The 19,299-nt window shown below is 46.1% G+C and overlaps 1 pseudogene; it reads left to right on the forward strand.

Moving 5' to 3' along the window:
* On the forward strand, window positions 5,959-6,759 carry CEP57L1P1 (centrosomal protein 57 like 1 pseudogene 1; annotated as a pseudogene).

Here is a 19,299-nt window from a genome sequence, read left to right on the forward strand (position 1 = left end):
TTAATTCCGCCTCTAGGGGGTCTAGGCAGTCAAAGAACACACATTCCCTTGGGCCTCGATGGATGTTAAGGGTTACTTATGCCCTCTCCACCCCCAACAATATGTTAAAGTTCATCAGAATGTGATCTTATTTGGAAGTAGGGCCGTTGCAGATGTAATGAGTTAAGGTCATGCTGGAGTAGGGCGGGCCCCTAATCCACTGAGACTGGTGTCGTTGTAAGAGAAGAGACACAGAAGAGACGCACAGGGAGAACCACCTGTGGTGATGGCGGCAGGGATCAGCTGATGCATTTCCAAGGCCAGGAGTGCCAAGCACTGCCAGCAGGGACCAGAAGCTAGGAACGGGCAGGGAATAATTCCTCCTTCAGAGCCTCCAAAAAGGAACTAACCCTCCAGACACCTTGATTTTGGACTTAATAGCTTCCAGAGCTGTAAGTGAATAAATTTCTGTTGCCACCCAGTTTATGTCCATTTGTTATAGCAGCCCTAGGAAAAAACTACAATAGGTTAGTAGGAATAAAGAGAAGAGGATGATAAATATCTCCAAAGTAAGTCTTTTGAAACTGATTGCTTAGTATATGCAAAGCCTTGTGTCTTGGGGTATACTGACATGAATCAGACACAGACCCTGCCCTCAAGGGGTTACCAGTCAAGTGGATACTTAAGCAGCCATGTTTTCTGACCCCTTGTGCCTTCCCAGGGAAAACTATGGAGATCTCTCTCAACCCATCAACACCACATCCCTGCCAGATATATAGCAAGTACCAGATATAAATAACTAATGGGTAGAGTCCCATTCTGCCCAAGCCGAGATGCTGCTTGCCACTGTGGACAAAGCAGGCATAGCTACTTCTGTTTTCACTGAAAACCAGCATGACACTTCTACCCAACTTTTACACGTGGATGTCTTCTCTCCTCTGCTAGTCCATACGCAGACTTGAGACAGCCAGTACAGTGTTTCTGTACCCATGGTAAGGGCTCAGTATATACTGCTGGCTGATGGCCCCAGCCTGGGGTTTCCAACATTCATACTTTCCCTCAGACAGTCCCCTGTCCCAGGCAGTTCATCCTGGACCCTCTAACTCCACAGAGACAAGATCCCTCCCTAGCTCAAATCCACCTCTTCTATTCCTACTGTTTTTGCTTCTCCAGAGCACTTAGTGCATTATACCCATTATTCTATCATCTCTGCACAAGTCTTTACTCCCGAGAGTCTGCCTGATTGCAAATACCAGAGCTTGACGCATGTTCAGTGCTTGTATCCATCAGTGTTTCCTGCATAATAAAACACCCCAAAACTTAGTTGTGGCTTAAAACAATAACTACTTATTTAGTTCATGATTTTATGGGTCAGTATTTGAGGCTGGGCTTAGCTGGGCAGTTCTTCTGGTCTCAGCTGGACTCCCTCATGCATCCGGGTTCATCGCCAGGCAGTCAGAAGGCTCTGCTTCTGGGAAGTGGCTAGCTGCCAACTGAGGCAAGTAGGTCGCATGTCTCTCATCTACTAACAGGCTAGCCTAATTTGTTCACATGGAGCTGCAGGGCTCCGAGAGCACGAGTGGAATGGTGCAAGGTCTCTCAAAGTCTAGGCTCAAAATCGGCACTAGTCCACTTCCACAGTTGTATCGACTAAACCAAATGGCAAGGCCAACCCAGGTTCGAGGGTGAAGAAATAGACTCCATCTCCTGATGGGAGAAGCAGCGAAGTCACATTGCAAAGAATATGAGTACAGGGATGAGCAGAGAGTTGGGGCTAATTTTGTAATCTGTCACAGGACTCCATAAGTATTCTTGGGCTGGGCTCTGTGGCTCACGCCTGTAATCCCAGCACTTTGGGAGGCTGAGGCGGGAGGATCACTTGAGCTCACGAGTTCGAGAGCAGCCTGGCAACACGGTGAAACCCCATCTCTACAAAAAATACAAAAAGTAGCCGGGCATGGTGGCTTGGGCCTGTAGTCCCAGCTACTCAGGAGGCCGAGGTGGGAGGATAGCTTGAGCCCTAGAGCCCAGGAGGAAGACCAGGTCTCAAAAAAAAAAAAAGTATTCTCACAATACCTATTGGGTACTCAGAAAATACTTATCAACAGTGGTAAGATTTTCAGTCACTATGTTTACTGACTCCATTCAATGCAGTCAATTGGCAAAATATTATCCCTCACTGTTAGGGTCTACAAGCCTCACACCGTTCGTGGCCATTTTCAGTTTCAGAACAGCCAGTGAGGGAATCAGCGAGGTAGGGCTGTGCAAGGGAAGGCCCTGAGGCTTCTCGGTGAAGAAGCTCAACTGGCCCCAAACAAATAGTCTCCTCCGAGGAGATCCAGAGCATCTTTAGAGGCCTGGACCCCTTAGCAAGGTGGTCCAAGCCTGGCCACCTGAGTCAGAAGCTGTACACCCTGAACAGACTCGGATGTTTGCCAGGGCTTGGCTACAGCCTCCGGAGATGTTTGAAATCCTTGCAAATTACTTGCAGATAGGAAGAGTCTTGTGCTAAGACAAAATTGTTCTGTGGTTATTCCCTGAAGGGTCTGACCCCCACTGGGCAGGATAAATTCTCAGGGCACTTGTAAAAGGGACAGTATCCCATTGACAGAGTCAGCATCTCAACTCCTGTGACTGAAGACCCTGATAGAGTCTACTTCTCATCAAAGAACTTCTAGGCCTGCTAATTAGTTAATTTGTGCGCCCACCCCACATCCACCAGAAAAAAAAAAAGATATGTTGTAGTCCTAACCCCTAGTACCTCAGAATGTGGCCTCACTTGGAGGTAGCGTCTTTACAGAAGGAATCAAGTTAAAATTGAAGTCATTAGGGTGGGTCCTAATCCAATATGATTGGTGTCCTTATAAGAAGTGGTTATTGGTAGACAGGCAGACATGCATAGAGGGAAGATCATGTGAAGAGACACTGGGAGAAGATGGCCATCTACAAGCTAAAGAGAAAGGCTTGGTACAGGTCCTTCCCTCACAGCTCTCAGAAGGACCCAACGAATACCTTGATTTCAGATTTCTAGACTCCAGAACTGTGAGACAATGAATTTCTGTTGGTAAGATACCTGGCCTGCGGCACTTTGTTGCAGTAGCTGTAATACAATATAAAACTGTAAATTTCTCCTTTTCCATTCTATTCTCCTCATATTGGCCCTTATCTCACACTTCTTGAAAGAAAATCATCTTTGCCAGGTGCGGTGGCTCATGCCTGTAATCCCAGCACTTTGGGAGGCTGAGGCGGGTGGAACACCTGAGGTCAGGAGTTCAAGGCCAGCCTGGCCAACATAGTGAAACCCCATCTCTACTAAAAATAGAAAAAATTAGCTGGGTGTGGTGGTGGGTGCCTGTAATCCCAGCTACTAGGGAGGCTGAGGCAGGAGAATTGCTTTAACCCAGGAGGCAGAGGTTGCAGTAAGCCGAGACTGTGCCATTGCACTCCAGCCTGGGCAACAAGAGTGAAACTCCATCTCAAAAAAAAAAAAAAAAAAAGCAAGAAAGTAGAGAGGTAAGGGAGGGAGGAAGGGAAGGAGAGAGAGAGAGAAAGACAGAAAAGAAAAGAAAAGAAAAGAAAAGAGAAGAGGCCGGGCACAGTGGCTGACGCCTGTAATCCCAGCACTTTGGGAGGCCGAGGTGGGCAGATCACCTGAGGTCAGGAGTTTGAGACCAGCCTGGCCAATATGGTGAAACCCTGTCTCTACTAAAAATACAAAAATTAGCCGGGCGCGGTGGCAGGCACCTGTAATTCCAGCTACTTGGGAGGCTGAGGCAGGGGAATTGCTTGAACCCGGGAGGCAAAGGCTGCAGTGAGCCAAAATTGGGCCATTGCACTCCAGCCTGGGTGACAAGAGCAAAACTCCGTCCCCAAAAAAAAAAAAAAAAAAAGGAAGGGAGGGAGGGAGGGAGGAAGGGAGGAAGGAACATTTAAATAAAAACGAACCGAGAAGGTCCTTCCTTCCACAGGTGTGAGTCAGACCCTGCCCCGACACATCATCCTGTTTCTCACTCTGTCCTCCACCTGGGGCCGCACCTCTCCCTGGAGCTGAGCTACCGACAGCCAGGAACTAGAGGTAACTCCAAGTCACTGCCATCCTAAGGCAGAAGAGTAGTTCCCCCAGTACCTCTTCCAGAAGGTTCAGCCTGTTGAGAGGTGCCCACCCCTCTTACCCTGCCAGGTACTGCAGGTTTACGAAAATTAGCAAGAAGTAGTCAAATTAGCAAGAACTCAAGGCAGTTGTGCTCTGCTATGGAAAATACGATTCTAATCAAAGGTGACTCAAGAGGCATTTCTCAAGCGTCAGTTGTTGCCATACCACCTTCCTGATTTTTGCTATATCTGAGCCCCACCCAGTGGTGAGCTGGAGTCACTTGTGCAGACTTGGAGCTTGCTCCTTCTGCCCATTTTTTCCCAGCTCTGGGTACAGTGCCATCACCTGGATTACTAGAAATAGGCATGGTGGAAGAACTTACACCATAGAAATCAGCACACACTACAAATCATGACTTTTTTTTTTTTTCTGAAGGAAATGCTTTACCAACACACCATAGTATTATTTACTTATATTTTTCCTTCAACTCACTTTTTAACTTAAAAAAACATTTATTTTTAAAAAGGAATTTTATATCATTCCACAAGTGGAACATAGTATCATTTGCCATAGATAAAAAGTAACCTTAAAAATAGGGCCTTGGGGCTGGGCCCAGTGGCTCATGCCTGTAATCCCAGCACTTTGGGAGGCTGAGGCAGGTGAATCACTTCAGGTCAGGAGTTTGAGACCAGCCTGGCCAACATGGTGAAATCCTGTCTCTACTAAAATTACAAAAATTAGCTGGGTTTGGTGGCGTGCACCTGTAGTCCCGGCTACTTGGGAGGTTGAGGCACGAGAATCGCTTGAACCCAGGAGGCAGAGGTTGCAGTGAGCAGAAATCACACCACTGCACTCCAGCCTGGGCAATGGAGGGAGACTCCACCTCGAAAAAAAAAAAAAAAAAACATATATATATATATATATATATATATATATATGGGCTTGGTTGGGTGTAGTGGCTCACACTTGTAATCCTAGCACTTTGGGAGGCCTAGGTGGGCGGATCACACGAGGTCATGAGTTCAAGACCAGCCTGGCCGACCTGGTGAAACCCCATCTCTACTAAAAATACAAAAATTAGCCAGGTGTGGTGGCACACGCCTGTAGTCCCAGCTACTCAGGAGGCTGAGGCAGGAGAATCCCTTGAACCTGGGAGGTGGAGGCTACAGTGAGTAGAGATCACGCCACTGCACTACAGCCTGGGTGACAGAGTGAGACTCTGTCTCAAAAAAAAAAAAAAAAAAAAAGGCAGAGTCAGTCTTTTAGAATCCAGTCCTGGTTGTGACATCTATACTTGAAACTGCCTTTGCTAAGTTATAACTGAGGAAATTATGACAGTGAAAGAAATCACACCTAACCGACTCTATCTTGCTTCTAATCTTTAAGCTGTCCTTGTTCATGCCTGGGCGTAGGCTGAACTAACTTTGGGAAGGAATTCAGTTCGTGATTTTACTCCGAAACAAAATTGATAATAGCCCTTTCCCGAAAAGACTCCCTTCTTGTGGCCGGGCACGGTGGCTCACGCCTGTAATCCCAGCACTTTGGGAGCCCGAGGCAGGCAGATCACGAGATCAGTAGTTCGAGACCAGCCTGACCGACATGGTGAAACCCCGTCTCTACTGAAAATACAAAAATTAGCCGGGCGTGGTGGTGCACACCTGTAATCCCAGCTACTCAGGAGGCTAAGGCAGGAGAATTGCTTGAACCCAGGAGGCGGAGGTTGCGGTGAGCCGGGATCATGCCACTGCACTCCAGCCTGGGTGACAGAGTGAGACTCTGTCTACAAAAAAAAAAAAAAAAAAAAAAAGACTCCTTTCTTGCCAGGGACCAGTCTGCCTTTGCAGGACTAACAAATTAGCTACAAGATTAGAAATTACAATTTAGGGGGGTGCCCGCGAACCAACGGTTAGCGGTGGCAGGGGCTGACTGAGAGCGTCTGCTTGATAATGGATTCTGAATTAATGCATAGTATAGTAGGAAGCTATCATAAACCTCCAGAAAGAGTATTTGTTCCCTCATTCACCCAGAATGAACCATCTCAGAATTGCCATCCTGCGAACTTAGAAGTTACCTCTCCTAAGATACTTCATAGCCCAAATAGCCAAGCTCTTATTTTAGCCTTAAAAACTCTTCAGGAAAAAATTCATTGTTTAGAGCTGGAGAGAACACAAGCTGAAGATGACCTGAACATTCTTTCCAGAGAAGCAGCACAGTATAAGAAGGCCTTAGAGAATGAAACAAATGAGAGAAATCTAGCACATCAGGAGCTGATAAAGCAGAAAAAAGATGTAAGTATACAGTTAAGCTCAGCCCAGTCTCGTTGCACTCTTCTAGAGAAGCAACTAGAATATACAAAGAGAATGGTTCTCAATGTAGAGCGAGAAAAGAACATGATCCTAGAACAACAGGCCCAGCTTCAGAGGGAAAAAGAACAAGATCAGATGAAGCTGTATGCAAAACTTGACAAGCTTGATGTCTTAGAAAAAGAGTGTTTTAGACTTACAACAACTCAGAAAACTGCTGAGGACAAGATTAAACATTTAGAAGAAAAACTTAAGGAAGAAGAACATCAGCGTAAGCTATTTCAAGACAAAGCTTCTGAGCTTCAAACTGGACTTGAAATCAGTAAAATTATGTCTTCAGTTTCAAATTTAAAGCACTCCAAGGAAAAGAAGAAATCTTCAAAGAAAACTAAATGTATAAAGAGAGGACCACCTTGGCAAATTTGTTCAAAGTTTGGAGCACTGCCTTTTGTGGCTGAAAAGATGAGGCAACATCGTGACCCACATATCCTTCAGAAACCTTTTAACGTGACTGAGACTAGATGTCTCCCCAAGCCTTCTAGAACAACTGCCTGGTGTAAAGCTATTACTCCTGACTCAGAAAAGTCCATTTCCATTTGTGACAATTTATCTGAACTTTTGATGGCAATGCAAGATGAGCTGGACCAAATGAGCATGGAGCACTAAGAACTACTCAAACAAATGAAGGAAACTGAAAGCCATTCAGTCTGTGACGAGATAGAATGTGAACTAGAGTGTTTAGTCAAGAAAATGGAAATTAAAGGAGAACAAATCTCCGAACTCAAGAAGCATCAAGACAGTGTAAGAAGGCTTTAGTAAGAGATTTTAATAAAAAGATAAAATATCTGGGAAAAAAAAAAGAAATTACAGTGTAGGGGTCATGCAACCTTTGGCTCCAAGAGTCTGAACCTCCCCAAATTGCTCCTGGGGGTAACATCACTATTGTAAAACCTAAGATCAGTGCTTGAGATATTTTCCAGACCCTGCACTCGATGGATCAGCTGACACCACCCAGACAGGTAGTCTGGCTCAACCAGTTCTGCCATTGCACCCAGGAACAGAAGATGGCAAGAAAACCTCACTTTAACACCCTATGACTTCATCTCCATTCTAACCAATCAGCACTCCCCACTTCCCAAGCGCCTACCTGCCAAATTATCTTTAAAGACTCTGATCTCCGAATGTTCAGGGAGACTGATTTGAGTAATAATTAAACTCTGGTCTCCTGCACAGCTGGCTCTGTGTGAATTACTCTATCTCCATTGCAATTCCCCTGTCTTGATAAAGCGGCTGTGTCTAGGCAGCAGGCAAGGTGAACCTATCGGGCGGTTAAATACTCTTGTCCTATTCAATAGAAGCAAGTCACTAGGTCCAGCCCACACTCAAGGGGACTGAATTACACAGGGCAAGAATACCAGGAGGTTGAAACCACTGGGAACCATGTCAGCTGGTGCCAATCACAGTGGCTAATACCAACATTTCTTTTCTTTTTTTTTTTTTTTTTCTGAGACAGAGTCTCACTCTGTCGCCCAGGCTGGAGTGCAGTGGCCCCTGATCTCGGCTCACTGCAAGCTCCGCCTCCCAATACCAACATTTCTTATAAATGGAATAGACTAAAGAAACATGTGGTGGCTCACGCTTGTAATCCCAGGATTTTGGCAGGCTGAGATGGGCGGATCACTTGAGGTCAGGAGTTCGAAACCAGCCTGGCCAACATGGCAAAACCCCATCTCTACTAAAAATACAAAAAAAAAAAAAAATAGCAAAAGAACATTTCCCCTGTGCATCCATTGCTCCTTTCCCTTTTGCCTGTTTTTGTTTGTTTGTTTGTGTTTGTTTTTGTTTTTTTTAAAGCCATACAGAGCCAACAGATACGTCACAGTCTTTCAGGTTCTCCCTATGGGACTAAGAGGCAGAAAAGACAGAAACAGAGAGAGGCACGTAAATATTTAAGAGAAAGAAAAGACAAGTCATTGTAACTGATTAGATATGAGGAGTAAGGAAAAAGAGGAATTGAGGTTGACCTTTAGTTTTTGGCTGGAATGATCAGAAGGATCGTGATGTCATGTACCAAGAGAGGGCATGCAGGGGAGGGGGGAACTGGCACGGGGAGACAGCAGGCTTTATTTAGGAGACATCCACTTAGAGGGACACCCAGAGGAAGTTAGATATCTGAGCTGGGGGCTTAGCAAGGAATCTAGGCTGAAGCTACAGATTTGGGAACCATTGGAAGAAGCTGAAGCAACAGGAGTGGGTAGGCTCACCTGAGGGAGGTGTGGAGTGAGAAAAGAAGAAGACCAAGGGCAAAACCTGGGGAACATCAACATTTCTGTGAGGGGCACTAGAGCAGCAGACGAGATAAAGACCAAAAAGGGCAGGGCGTGGTGGCTTATGCCTGTAATCCCAGCACTTTGAGGGGCCAAGACAGGAGGATCATTTTGTTGTGGGAAACAGAGGACCAGAGAGACAGATATGGGAAACAGGAGGATTTATTTATTAACAGGACTTTTATAACAGTTTGTGCCCAGGAGTTCGCTGCACAGCCTTGGCAGTATAGTGAGACCTCATATCTCTCTCTATATATATATAAAAAAAAATTCTTTTTTTTTTTTTTTTTGAGATGGAGTTTCACTCTGTCACCCAGGCTGGAGTGCAATGGTGTGATCTTGGCTCACTGCAACCTCTGCCTCCTAGGTTCAAGTGATTCTCCTGCCTCAGCCTCCCAAGTAGCTGGGATTATAGGCACCTGCTACCATGCCTGGCTAATTTTTGTAGTTTTTAGTAGAGACGGGGCTTCACCATGTTGGCCAGGCTAGTCTCCAATTCCTGACCTCAGGTGATCCTCTCGCCTTGGCATCCCAAAGTGCTGGGATTACAGGTGACTCACCATGCCCAGCCAAAATTTTTTTAAAAAATTAGCCAGATGTGGCCAGGCATGGTGGCTCACGCCTGTAATCCCAGCACTTTGGGAGGCTGAGGCGGGCAGATCACAAGATCAGGAGATCGAGACCATCCTGGCCAATGTGGTGAAGCCTCGTCTCTACTAAAAATACAAAAAAAAATTAGCTGGGTGTGGTGGTGTGTGCCTGTAATCCCAGCTACTCGGGAGGCTGAGGCAGGAGACTCACTTGAACCCGGGAGTTGGAGACTGCAGTGAGCTGAAATTGCACCACTGCACTCCAGCCTGGTGACAGAGCAAGACTCTGTCTCAAAAAAAAAAAAAAAAAAAATTAGCCAGATGTGGTAGCATGGACCTGTAATCCCAGCTATGTGGGAGGCTGAGGCAGGAGAATTGCTTAAGCCCAGGAAGTCTATGCTGCAGTGAGCCCAGATCACACAGCTGCACTCCAGTCTGGGCAATAGAGGGAGGCCCTGTCTCTATCTACCTATCAGTTGAAGACAGTGGAGAATACAAGACTAAGAATGCTGAAGCCTCTCAACCTTATTTTTATAGCACAAAATGGAGCCTTTTGGATAACCCTCTATCTTAGCTCAGGCCACCATAACAAAATACCATAGACTGGGTAGCTTAAGCAATAGAAATGTACTTTCTCACAGTTCTAGAGGTTGAGAAGTCCAAGACCAAGGTGCTGGCTGATGGTTCCAGTGAGGGCTGTCTTCCTGGTTTGTAGATGGCCACCTTCTTTCTGTGTCCTCACATCATGCTTGCTCCAGGTTCTCTCCCTGTTCTTTTTTTTTTTTTTTTTTTTTTTTTTTTTTTTTTTTTTGAGACAGAGTCTCACTCTGTTGCCAGGCTGGAGTGCAGTGGCATGATCTCGGCTCACTGCAAACTCCGACTCCCTGGTTTAAGCGATTGTCCTGCTCCAGCCTCCTGAGTAGCTGGGATTACAGGCACACGCCACCATGCCCAGCTAATTTTTGTATTTTTAGTAGAGATGGGGTTTCAACATGCTGGCCAGGATGGTCTCAATCTCCTGACCTCGTGATCTGCCTGCCTCGGCCTCCCAAAGTGCTGGGATTACAGGTGTGAGCCACCATGCCTGGCCTCCCTTCCTGTTCTTAAAAGGGCACCAGCCCTATTGGATTAGGGTTCTACCCTTATGGCCTCATTTAACCATAATTAACTTTTTATGGGCCCCATTTCCAAAGACAGTCACTTGGAAGGTTAGGGCTTCAACATAATAATTTTGAGGGGAATTCCTTCCATAGCACCCCATGGACTCACATTTCTATCTATCAGCTATTTGGCATTTTGTGGGCTTTATTAAAACTGCCAAGCTGTAGCTCCCTCCTCCTCATTGCACCCCTCTCTTCTCCCCCTGCATTTCCCTTCTCTGACCATGAAGGTAGAACTCATAGGGAGGATATGGTTAAGAAAGTTACCTGGGGATCAGAATACAAGATGTTCTTCTAGAAGGAACATCTAGATGGAGGAAGGACCCTGGAATTTCCAAGAGAAGCCAAGCCCTGGGGGTGGCTCAGTGTGACTGTTTTATGGAAACATATTCCCATCAAGGATGTTCCCAAACACGCTTTAGCTCCAGTTGTCCAGATATGTCACAATAAAAGTGAGTTTTGGCTGGGCGCAGTGGCTCATGCTTGTAATCCCAGCACTTTGGGAGGTCAAGGTGGGCAGGTCACTTAAGGTCAGGAGTTCGAGATCAGCCTGGCCAACATAGTGAAACCCTGTCTCTACTAAAAATACAAAAATTAGCCAGGTATGGTGCCAGGTGCCTGTAATCCCCAACTACTCAGGAGGCTGAGGCTGGAGAATTGCTTGAACCTAGAAAGCAGAGGTTGCAGTGAGCTGAGATCGCACCACTGTACTCCAGCCTGGTGGCAAAGGGAGACTCTGTCTAAAAAAAAAAAAACAAAAAAACAAAAAAAAAACAGTGAGTTTTTAGGACTACATCATTAAACTTTTCCCTGTGCCATTTTAGCCTCTAACCACTGAGCAATCCAGCCCCTGCCTATCACTCCACTTCTCCTCACTCTGAATGTCCTACAAATCATTTATTTATTCAAAAGATATTTATTGAGCACCTTACATGTGCCAGACACTGTGCTAGTCCCTGAGAAAAAGTGGAGAACATGACAGGCTGCTTTCATAGAACATACAATTTTAGTGGAGGGGCAGATATTAATTGAATCCTCACACAATTATAACTGGACAGGTCATGTGGAGGAGAGGCACACAGGGACATGAAAGCCTATGACAAGGAGATTGGGCCTTGGCAGAGAGGGTAAGGAAGGCTTCCCTGACAAAATGAATCTGACTGGGAAGGGGATTATAAGAGGTGCATAGGAGTCAACTAGGTGAATATTAGAGAATAGTTTAGTTTCCTGTGCTGCATATAAGAAATAATAATGAATTTGCTCAACTTTTTTTTTCAAACAACAAACTCAGTGGTTTAAAATAACACAATTATTATTATTATTATTTTGAGAAGGAGTCTTGTCTGTCACCCAGGTTGGAGTGCAGTGGCGTGATCTTGGCTCACTGCAACCTCCGCCTCCCAGGTTCAAGCAATTCTCCTGTCTCAGTCTCCTGAGTAGCTGGGATTCAGGCGCCCACCACTACACCCAGCTAATTCATATATATATTTTTAATTTTTAAAAAATTTTTATATTTTTAGTATGAATGGAGTTTCGTCATGTTGGCCAGGCTGGTCTTGAACTCCTGACCTCAGGTGATCCACCTGCCTCGGCCTCCCAAAGTGCTGGGATTATAGGTTTGAGCCACAGTACCCAGTGAAAACAACACAATTACTATTATTATTATTATTATTATTTTGAGATGGAGTTTCACTCTTGTTGCCCAGGCTGGAGTGCAATGGCACAATCTCGGCTCACTGCAACCTCCGCCTCCCAGGTTCAAGTGATTTTCCTGCCTCAACCTCCTGAGTAGCTGGGATTACAGGCACACACCACCACACCAGGCTAATTTTTTTGTATTTTTTTAGTAGAGACAAGGTTTCACCATGTTGGCCAGGCTGGCCTCAAACTCCTGACCTCAGTTGATCCACCCACCTCGGCCTCCCAAAGTGCTGGGATTACAGGTGTGAGCCACTGCACCCAGCCCAAAACAACACAATTATTATATTGCAGTTTCTGCAGAAGTGGGTCCCTTGCAATGCTTCAGTTAAGATGTGAGCCAGGGATGAGTTCTCACGTGGAGTCTGCTTCCAGGTTCTCTTGGTTCTTAGCAGAGTTTATTTCCTGTGGCTGTAGGACTCATGTTTATTTAAAGCTAGTGTGCATGACAGAAGAATCTAGAGTGAGTCTACTAGCAAGATGGAGTCTTATATAACTTAATATAAGCACAGGAGTGACATCCCATCGCCTTTGCCATATTGGAATCACAGGCCCCACCCACACTTAAGGGTGTGAGCACCAGGAGGTGGGGATCATGAGGGCAACCTTAAAGTCTGTTCACCACAGAGAACAACCAGGTAAAGGGAATAGCATGTGCAAAGACCCTAGAATGGGAGGAAGCATGGCCTGTTTGAGGAATAGGAGCACAGAAAGTGTGAGAGAGAGGGTGGGAGAGGAGGACAGACCATGCAGGGCCTTATTCAAGATCCCAAGAGTTATGGGGAGCCATGGAAGAAAGAGTGATGATGCAATCCAATCTACATTGTTCGTTATTGCTACCCCACAGCTTCTGAGTCCAGTTCAGTGTGGATGGATGAATTACCCATCCAAATCCAGCCAGAAGATATGGATGCAAGGAGTTGTCACCAAGGCAGGTGGATCCCATGGCTAGATGGGAGCTCCATGAGGTCTACCCTTGTTCATCCCTGAGCCCAAAGCCAGGACCATTCCAGGAGCTGGGCAAATACTTCTGAGTGAATTCATTCATGGATAAATGGAAGCCAAGTAGCTTGTCTAAAGCCTGCATGGAGAATCAGATGCCCAAGAGTCAAGTCAGCATCTTCCACCCTGAATCCAACAGTGCCCACCCAGTCATCGTAAAAATCTGGGCTCACCCAAGAAAAATCTGGGCTCCCCTTTGCCCAGGGGAGCCTCTTACCTCTTGCCTCAACTTGGTGAGCACTTGGCTCCCAGGCTCTGTACGCAATGTTCTTTGCCTTGGGCTGTGGCTGGCACAAGGCAGGGCACACCATTCACTGTTTGGATGACCGTGCATTTCCATCTCAAAAGTGCTCTCTCTGGTTGAGCTCAAGCTATGAAAACCAGCACATCCCACCAGGTGTGGTGTGGCATTAAGCATCCTGCCCACTTCGATGGTTGCTTTCACCTGCAGTCCAGGGGTTATAGGAGTTGTACCCATGAAGAATCTTCTACTAAATATCAGGATGAAGAGGAAGAAAGATATGAATGACAGGTGTTGAATTGTAATAAGTAGGCAGAAAATAATACCGGTTTCAATAGATGACTTTATTAGGCCTATGTAACACTGAGCAAGCTGTACCTCATTTTCTGAAGTCTACAGCTACAGACAAAAGGCATCACCTGACAAGACCTCCAAATGAGGGAAATACTAAAACTCAAGCATGGACCCCTCCAGCATACTGGGCAGACAGACACACTGCTAGCCTGCTGCTCCTCTCCAGCCCTAATGGCCCTGGCACCTTCCTGAATCCAGCTTGGTGCTTAATCGCCTTTCCCGTCAGCCAAGCCTCGGCTAGGCCTGACAGTTAATCCTCAGTAGAGCGCTCTGTGAATGAGGAGTTTTTCCTCCTATTTTTTGGACAACAGGCTCAGAGCTCACGGTCATACAGCAAGCTGGTAGTTAGAGCTAGCATTTAAACCAAGGTATGCCTGATGTCAAAGCCTAGGCACAGTGACATGTTCCAAACAACTGTGAGAGGCCAGAGAAATTTCTAGAGATACAGCAGATCACTTTGGACAAGCTAGCTACTCTGAGGCTGCTTCCTCATTTGTAAAATAGATAGGTATAATAATGCCTACTATGTATGGCAGTGGTATTAGAGGTAAGATCTCTAAAAGACACCTAGCACAGCACCTGACACAACCTGGACACTTAAACATGCTATCTGTTATTATGATCACTTTCTCAACACATTCTGCCTTATATTTCAGGAGCTCAGGAGATGGACACCCCACATTCTTCAGGAGTGCAGGAAGCCAACAGGTGCAGGAGAAAGTGCAGAGGACCACCAACCAGGAGCTTGGGTTCTAGTCCCAGCTCCACCAGGTCCTGGCTATAGGACCTCAGGGAAGTCACTCAACCTCTTTGACCCTCAGCTTCATCTGTAAAATGTACATAAGAATAATAAGCAGGCTGCCTCCATCACTGGGCTGTGGCTCAGCGTAAATGAGGTTAGTTGTTGTTAAAGTGCTTTGTGAAGTGGAAAAGTGTTATCTAAATGTAAGGGGCTATTATCCTTACAATGATACAGATCTAGCATGAGTAGCTACATCACAGAGGGCGGAAACCAGCCTCCCTGTCCCCCTGGGAAAGACAGGACCAGAGGGAACAGGGGCAGCAGGTGAGTGCAGGTGATTAGAAAGAATGGGTTTTGGGAAGCCAAAGTGGCTGAACATTGGAATCGATGACTGCAGAAGGGATACCCCTAGGTCAGGGACACTGGACCACATCCATTTTTTTTTTTTTGAGATGGAGTCTGGCTCTGTCGCCCAGGCTGGAGTGCAGTGGCATAATCTCCACTCACTGCAACCTCCACCTCCCGGGTTCAAGTGATTCTCCTGCCTCAGCCTCCCAAGTAGCTGGGATTATAGGCACCCACCATCATGCTTAGCTAATTTTTGTATTTTTAGTGGAGACAGGGTTTCACCATGTTGGCCAGGCTGGTCTCGAACTCCTGACCTCAAGTGATCCACCCACCTCGGCCTCCCAAAGTGCTGGGATTACAGGTGTGAGCCACCATGCCTGGCATTCATTTCTTTCAAACTCTAGTAATATCAATAAATTAAAAAAATTCAGAGACAGGGTTGGCTACTTGTGGGATATCTTTCATGTTTGATCCTGGAAATACATCAGGTATGAATCTAAAGGGTCCTGTGTCTGTGGGGTCACAATTGCATCAGCAGCTCCCCAGTCCCCACCTATCTAGATAAACTCATTCAGAGATAATATCCACCTGTACATTTCAGGCCATGTAGAGGGCCTCCTAGTCTCCCATGGTAGGCTCTGGGGATGGGGGAGAAATAGATTTATCCTTTAAATTCTCACCTGAGGCTGGGCATGGTGGCTCACACCTATAATCCCAGCACTTTGGGAGGCTGAGGTGGTCAGAGGATCACTTGAGAGGATCATTTGAGACCAGCCTAGACAACAGGGTGAGATCCCAAAAAATGTTTTAAACGGGCAGGGCACATGCCTGTGGTCCCATATACTCTGAAGGCCGAGGCAGGAGGATTGCTAGAGCCCGGGAAGTTGAGGCTGCAGTGAGCCATGATCACGCCACCGCACTCCAGCCTGGGAAACAGAGCAAGACCCTGTCTCAAAAAATGATTCAATAACAAATAAAAAATATAAACTTGACCAGGTGCAGTGGGATGCACCTGTAATCCCAGCGCATTAGGAGGCTGAGCGGGGAGGATTGCTTGAGCCCAGGAGTTCCAAGCTGCAGTGAGATATGATCTCCAGCTTGGGTGACAGACGAACAGCCTGCCTCAAAACATATAAATAAATAAATAAATAAATAAATAAATAAAATTTATCAGCATAAGTTTCATCAAATTCAAGACATTTTGGTGAAAATGTGACTGCTATGTTCCTGGGCTATCTTTGGGGGGCAATAAAAATGTTCTGGAATTAGACAATAGTGATGGATAAACAACTTTGTAAATATACTAAAAACCACTGAAATGTTCATTTTAAAAAGGTTGACTTTGACTGGGCATGGTGGCTCATGCCTGTAATCCTAGCACTTTCGGAGTACGAGGCGGGCAGATCACGAGGTCAAAAGATCCAGACCATCCTGGCCAACATGGCAAAACCTTGTCTCTACGAAAAATACAAAAATTAGCTGGGTGTGGTGGCACACGCCTGTAGACCCAGCTACTCGGGAGGCTGAGGCTGGAGAATTGTTTGAACCCGGGAGGTGGAGGTTGCAGTGAGCCGAGATTGCGCCACTCCACTCCAGCTTGGAGACAGAGCGAGACTCCATCTCAAAAAAAAAAAAAAAAAAAAGGTTGACTTTTACAGTAGATAAGCATATCTCAATAAAGCTGTTACCAAAAAAAAGCAAGTTTTTAGAAAGTGTGAAAAAATTAGTTTAGTGAGCTTTTTTAGGGTTTTCTAGAGGTGAAGAATCCACACATACACAACCACACTCACACACATGCACATGCACACACACATTTTATTTCAAAAGAGCACAAAGGCAATTTTGTGCTGGTACTTTTGAAACCAGACAGTTATAGACTTTTTTTGGTTTTGTTTTTGTTTTTTTGAGACCAAGTCTCTCTCTGTCGCCTAGGCTGGAGTGCAGTGGCACTGCAACCTCCACCTCCCTGGGTTCAAGTGATCCTCCTGCCTCAGCCTCCCAAGTAGTAGCTGGGACCCGACGTGCACCATGATGCCTGGCTAATTTTTGTATTTTTGGTAGAGATGGGGTTTCACCATGCTGGCCAGGCTGGTCTTGAACTCTTGAGCTCTTGAGCTCAAGTGATCCACCTGCCTCAGCCTCCGAAAGTGCTGGGATTACAGGCATAAGCCATTGCACCTGGCCTGACTGTTGACTTTTAATTGAGGAAAAGGTGCAGGAGACACCAGAGGTCCTAATGGGAAAATCTAAAACCTCAGTTACCGAGGCAGGAGGATCACTTGAGTTCAGGAGTTTCAACATGGTGAAACCTTGTCTCTACTAAAAATACAAAAAAATTAACCGGGTGTGGTGGTGCGTGCCAGTAATCCCAGCTACTCGGGAGGCTGAGGCAGGAGAATCTCTTGAACCGGCGAGGCAGAGGTTGCAGTGAGCCGAGATCACACCACTGCACTCCAGCCTGGGCGACAGAACGAGACTCTGTCTCAGAATGAATGAATGAATAAATAAATAAATAAAAAACCTCGGCCATGGCTCATACCTGTAATCTCAGCACTTTGGGAGGCCAAGGTGGGCGGATCATGAGGTCAGGAGTTTGAGACCAGCCTGGCCAAGAGAATAGCCTGTCCAATATGGTGAAACCCTGTCTCTACTAAAAATACAAAAATTAGCCAGGCGTGGTGGCAGGCACCTGTAATCCCAGTTACTCGAGAGGCTGAGGCAGGATAATCGCTTTGAACCCAGGAGGCGGAGGTTGTAGTGAGCCAAAGATCACGCCATTGCACTCCAGCCTGGGCAACAGAGCAAGACTCTGACTCAAAACATAGTAATAATAAAAAATAAAACTGGCTAGGCGCAGTGGCTCACGCCTTTAATCCCAGCACTTTGGGAGGCCGAGGTGGGTGGATCATGAGGTCAGGAGATTGAGACCATCCTGGCTAACATGGTGAAATCCCGTCTCTAATGAAAATACAAAAAAATTAGCCAGGCATGGTGGCGGGTGCCTGTAGTCCCAGCTACTCGGGAGGCTGAGGCAGGAGAATAGTGTGAACCCGGGAGGTGGAGCTGGCAGTGAGTCGAGATCGCGCCACTGCACTCTAGCCTGGGCGGCAGAGCGAGACTCCATCTCAAATAATAATAATAATAATAATAATAATAATAAATAAATAAATAAATAAAACCTCAATTAATTTCAGTATGACTTTGTCAAGAGGCAATTATTTGCTAAGCACTTTATATGCTAACCAGATGAGGTAACATGGTTATTGCCACATTACAGATGAGGCTCAGAGAGCATAGGTAACTTGTCTGGGGTCACACAGCTTGTAAACGGCAGAGCTGGGACTCAAACCCAGTCTGTATGTTCCGAAACCTGTGCTCTGTTCACTTCCCCCAGGCTGCCTGGCAAAATAAATAAAAAGCACCTGTCCCCAAAACTTTCAAATTGTACTTTGGTTCCTTTATTTCATTTCATCCCATCTTTAGTCCTATCCTCTGTGTCTTTTTTTCTTTTTTTGAGATGGAGTCTTGCTCTGTTGCCCAGGCTGCAGTGCAGTGGCATGATCTCGGCTCACTGCAACCTCTGTCTCAAGGGTTCAAGCGATTCTCCAGCCTCAGTCTCCCAAGTAGCTGGGACTACAGGCATGCGCGACCGCGTCCGGCTAACTTTTTTTTTTTTTTTGTATTTTTGTAGAGATGGGGTTTCACCATGTTGGCTAGGCTGGTCTCGAACTCCTGACCTCAGGTGATCTGCCTACCTCGGCCTCCCAAAGTGCTGGGATTACAGGCGTGTGCCACTGCGCCCAGCTTAACTTTTTTGTGCCATCTTTACCCTTTGCTCTGGCCAGAAGGGACCCACCTCACTGTCCCCAGAACACCCCCAAAATTTGTAAATAAAGACAGTTCAAAGAGTGATGCACTTTATTTTTTAATTAATTAACTAACTTTTTTAGAGACAGGGTCTTTTTAGGCTGGAGTGCAGTGGCACAATCGTAGCTCACTATAGCCTTGAACTCCTGGGCTAAAGAGATCCTCCTGCCTTAGCCTCCTGAGTAGGTTGGGACTATAGGTGCACACCACCATGTCTGGATAATTTTTTATTTATTTTTATTTTTGTAGAAATGTGAGAGGAGGGTCTCGCTTTTTTATCCAGGCTGGTCTTGAACTCCTGGCTTCATGCCATCCTCTTACCTGAGCTTCCCAAATTGCTGAGATTATAGGTGTGAGTTACTGTGCCCCTACTGGACTGATGCACTTTATCAACCACACACTGTAAGCTCTACACAAATGTAAACTAGTATCTTCCCCTTTCCTTCCACTAGAAGTGTCTCTGTTGGCATGTCCAAAGTCTCAGAGTCTTTCAAGGTTAAACTCAGCCCTCTGCAACTCTGGCAGCTTCCAGATGGCAGGACAGGCAGGGGACTTTTTTTTCTGGATTCTTGGGGCACTCACCACAAAATCAGTA

This window comes from Homo sapiens, chromosome 10, assembly GCF_000001405.40.
Source record: "Homo sapiens chromosome 10, GRCh38.p14 Primary Assembly".
Classification (NCBI taxonomy): Eukaryota; Metazoa; Chordata; class Mammalia; order Primates; family Hominidae; genus Homo; species Homo sapiens.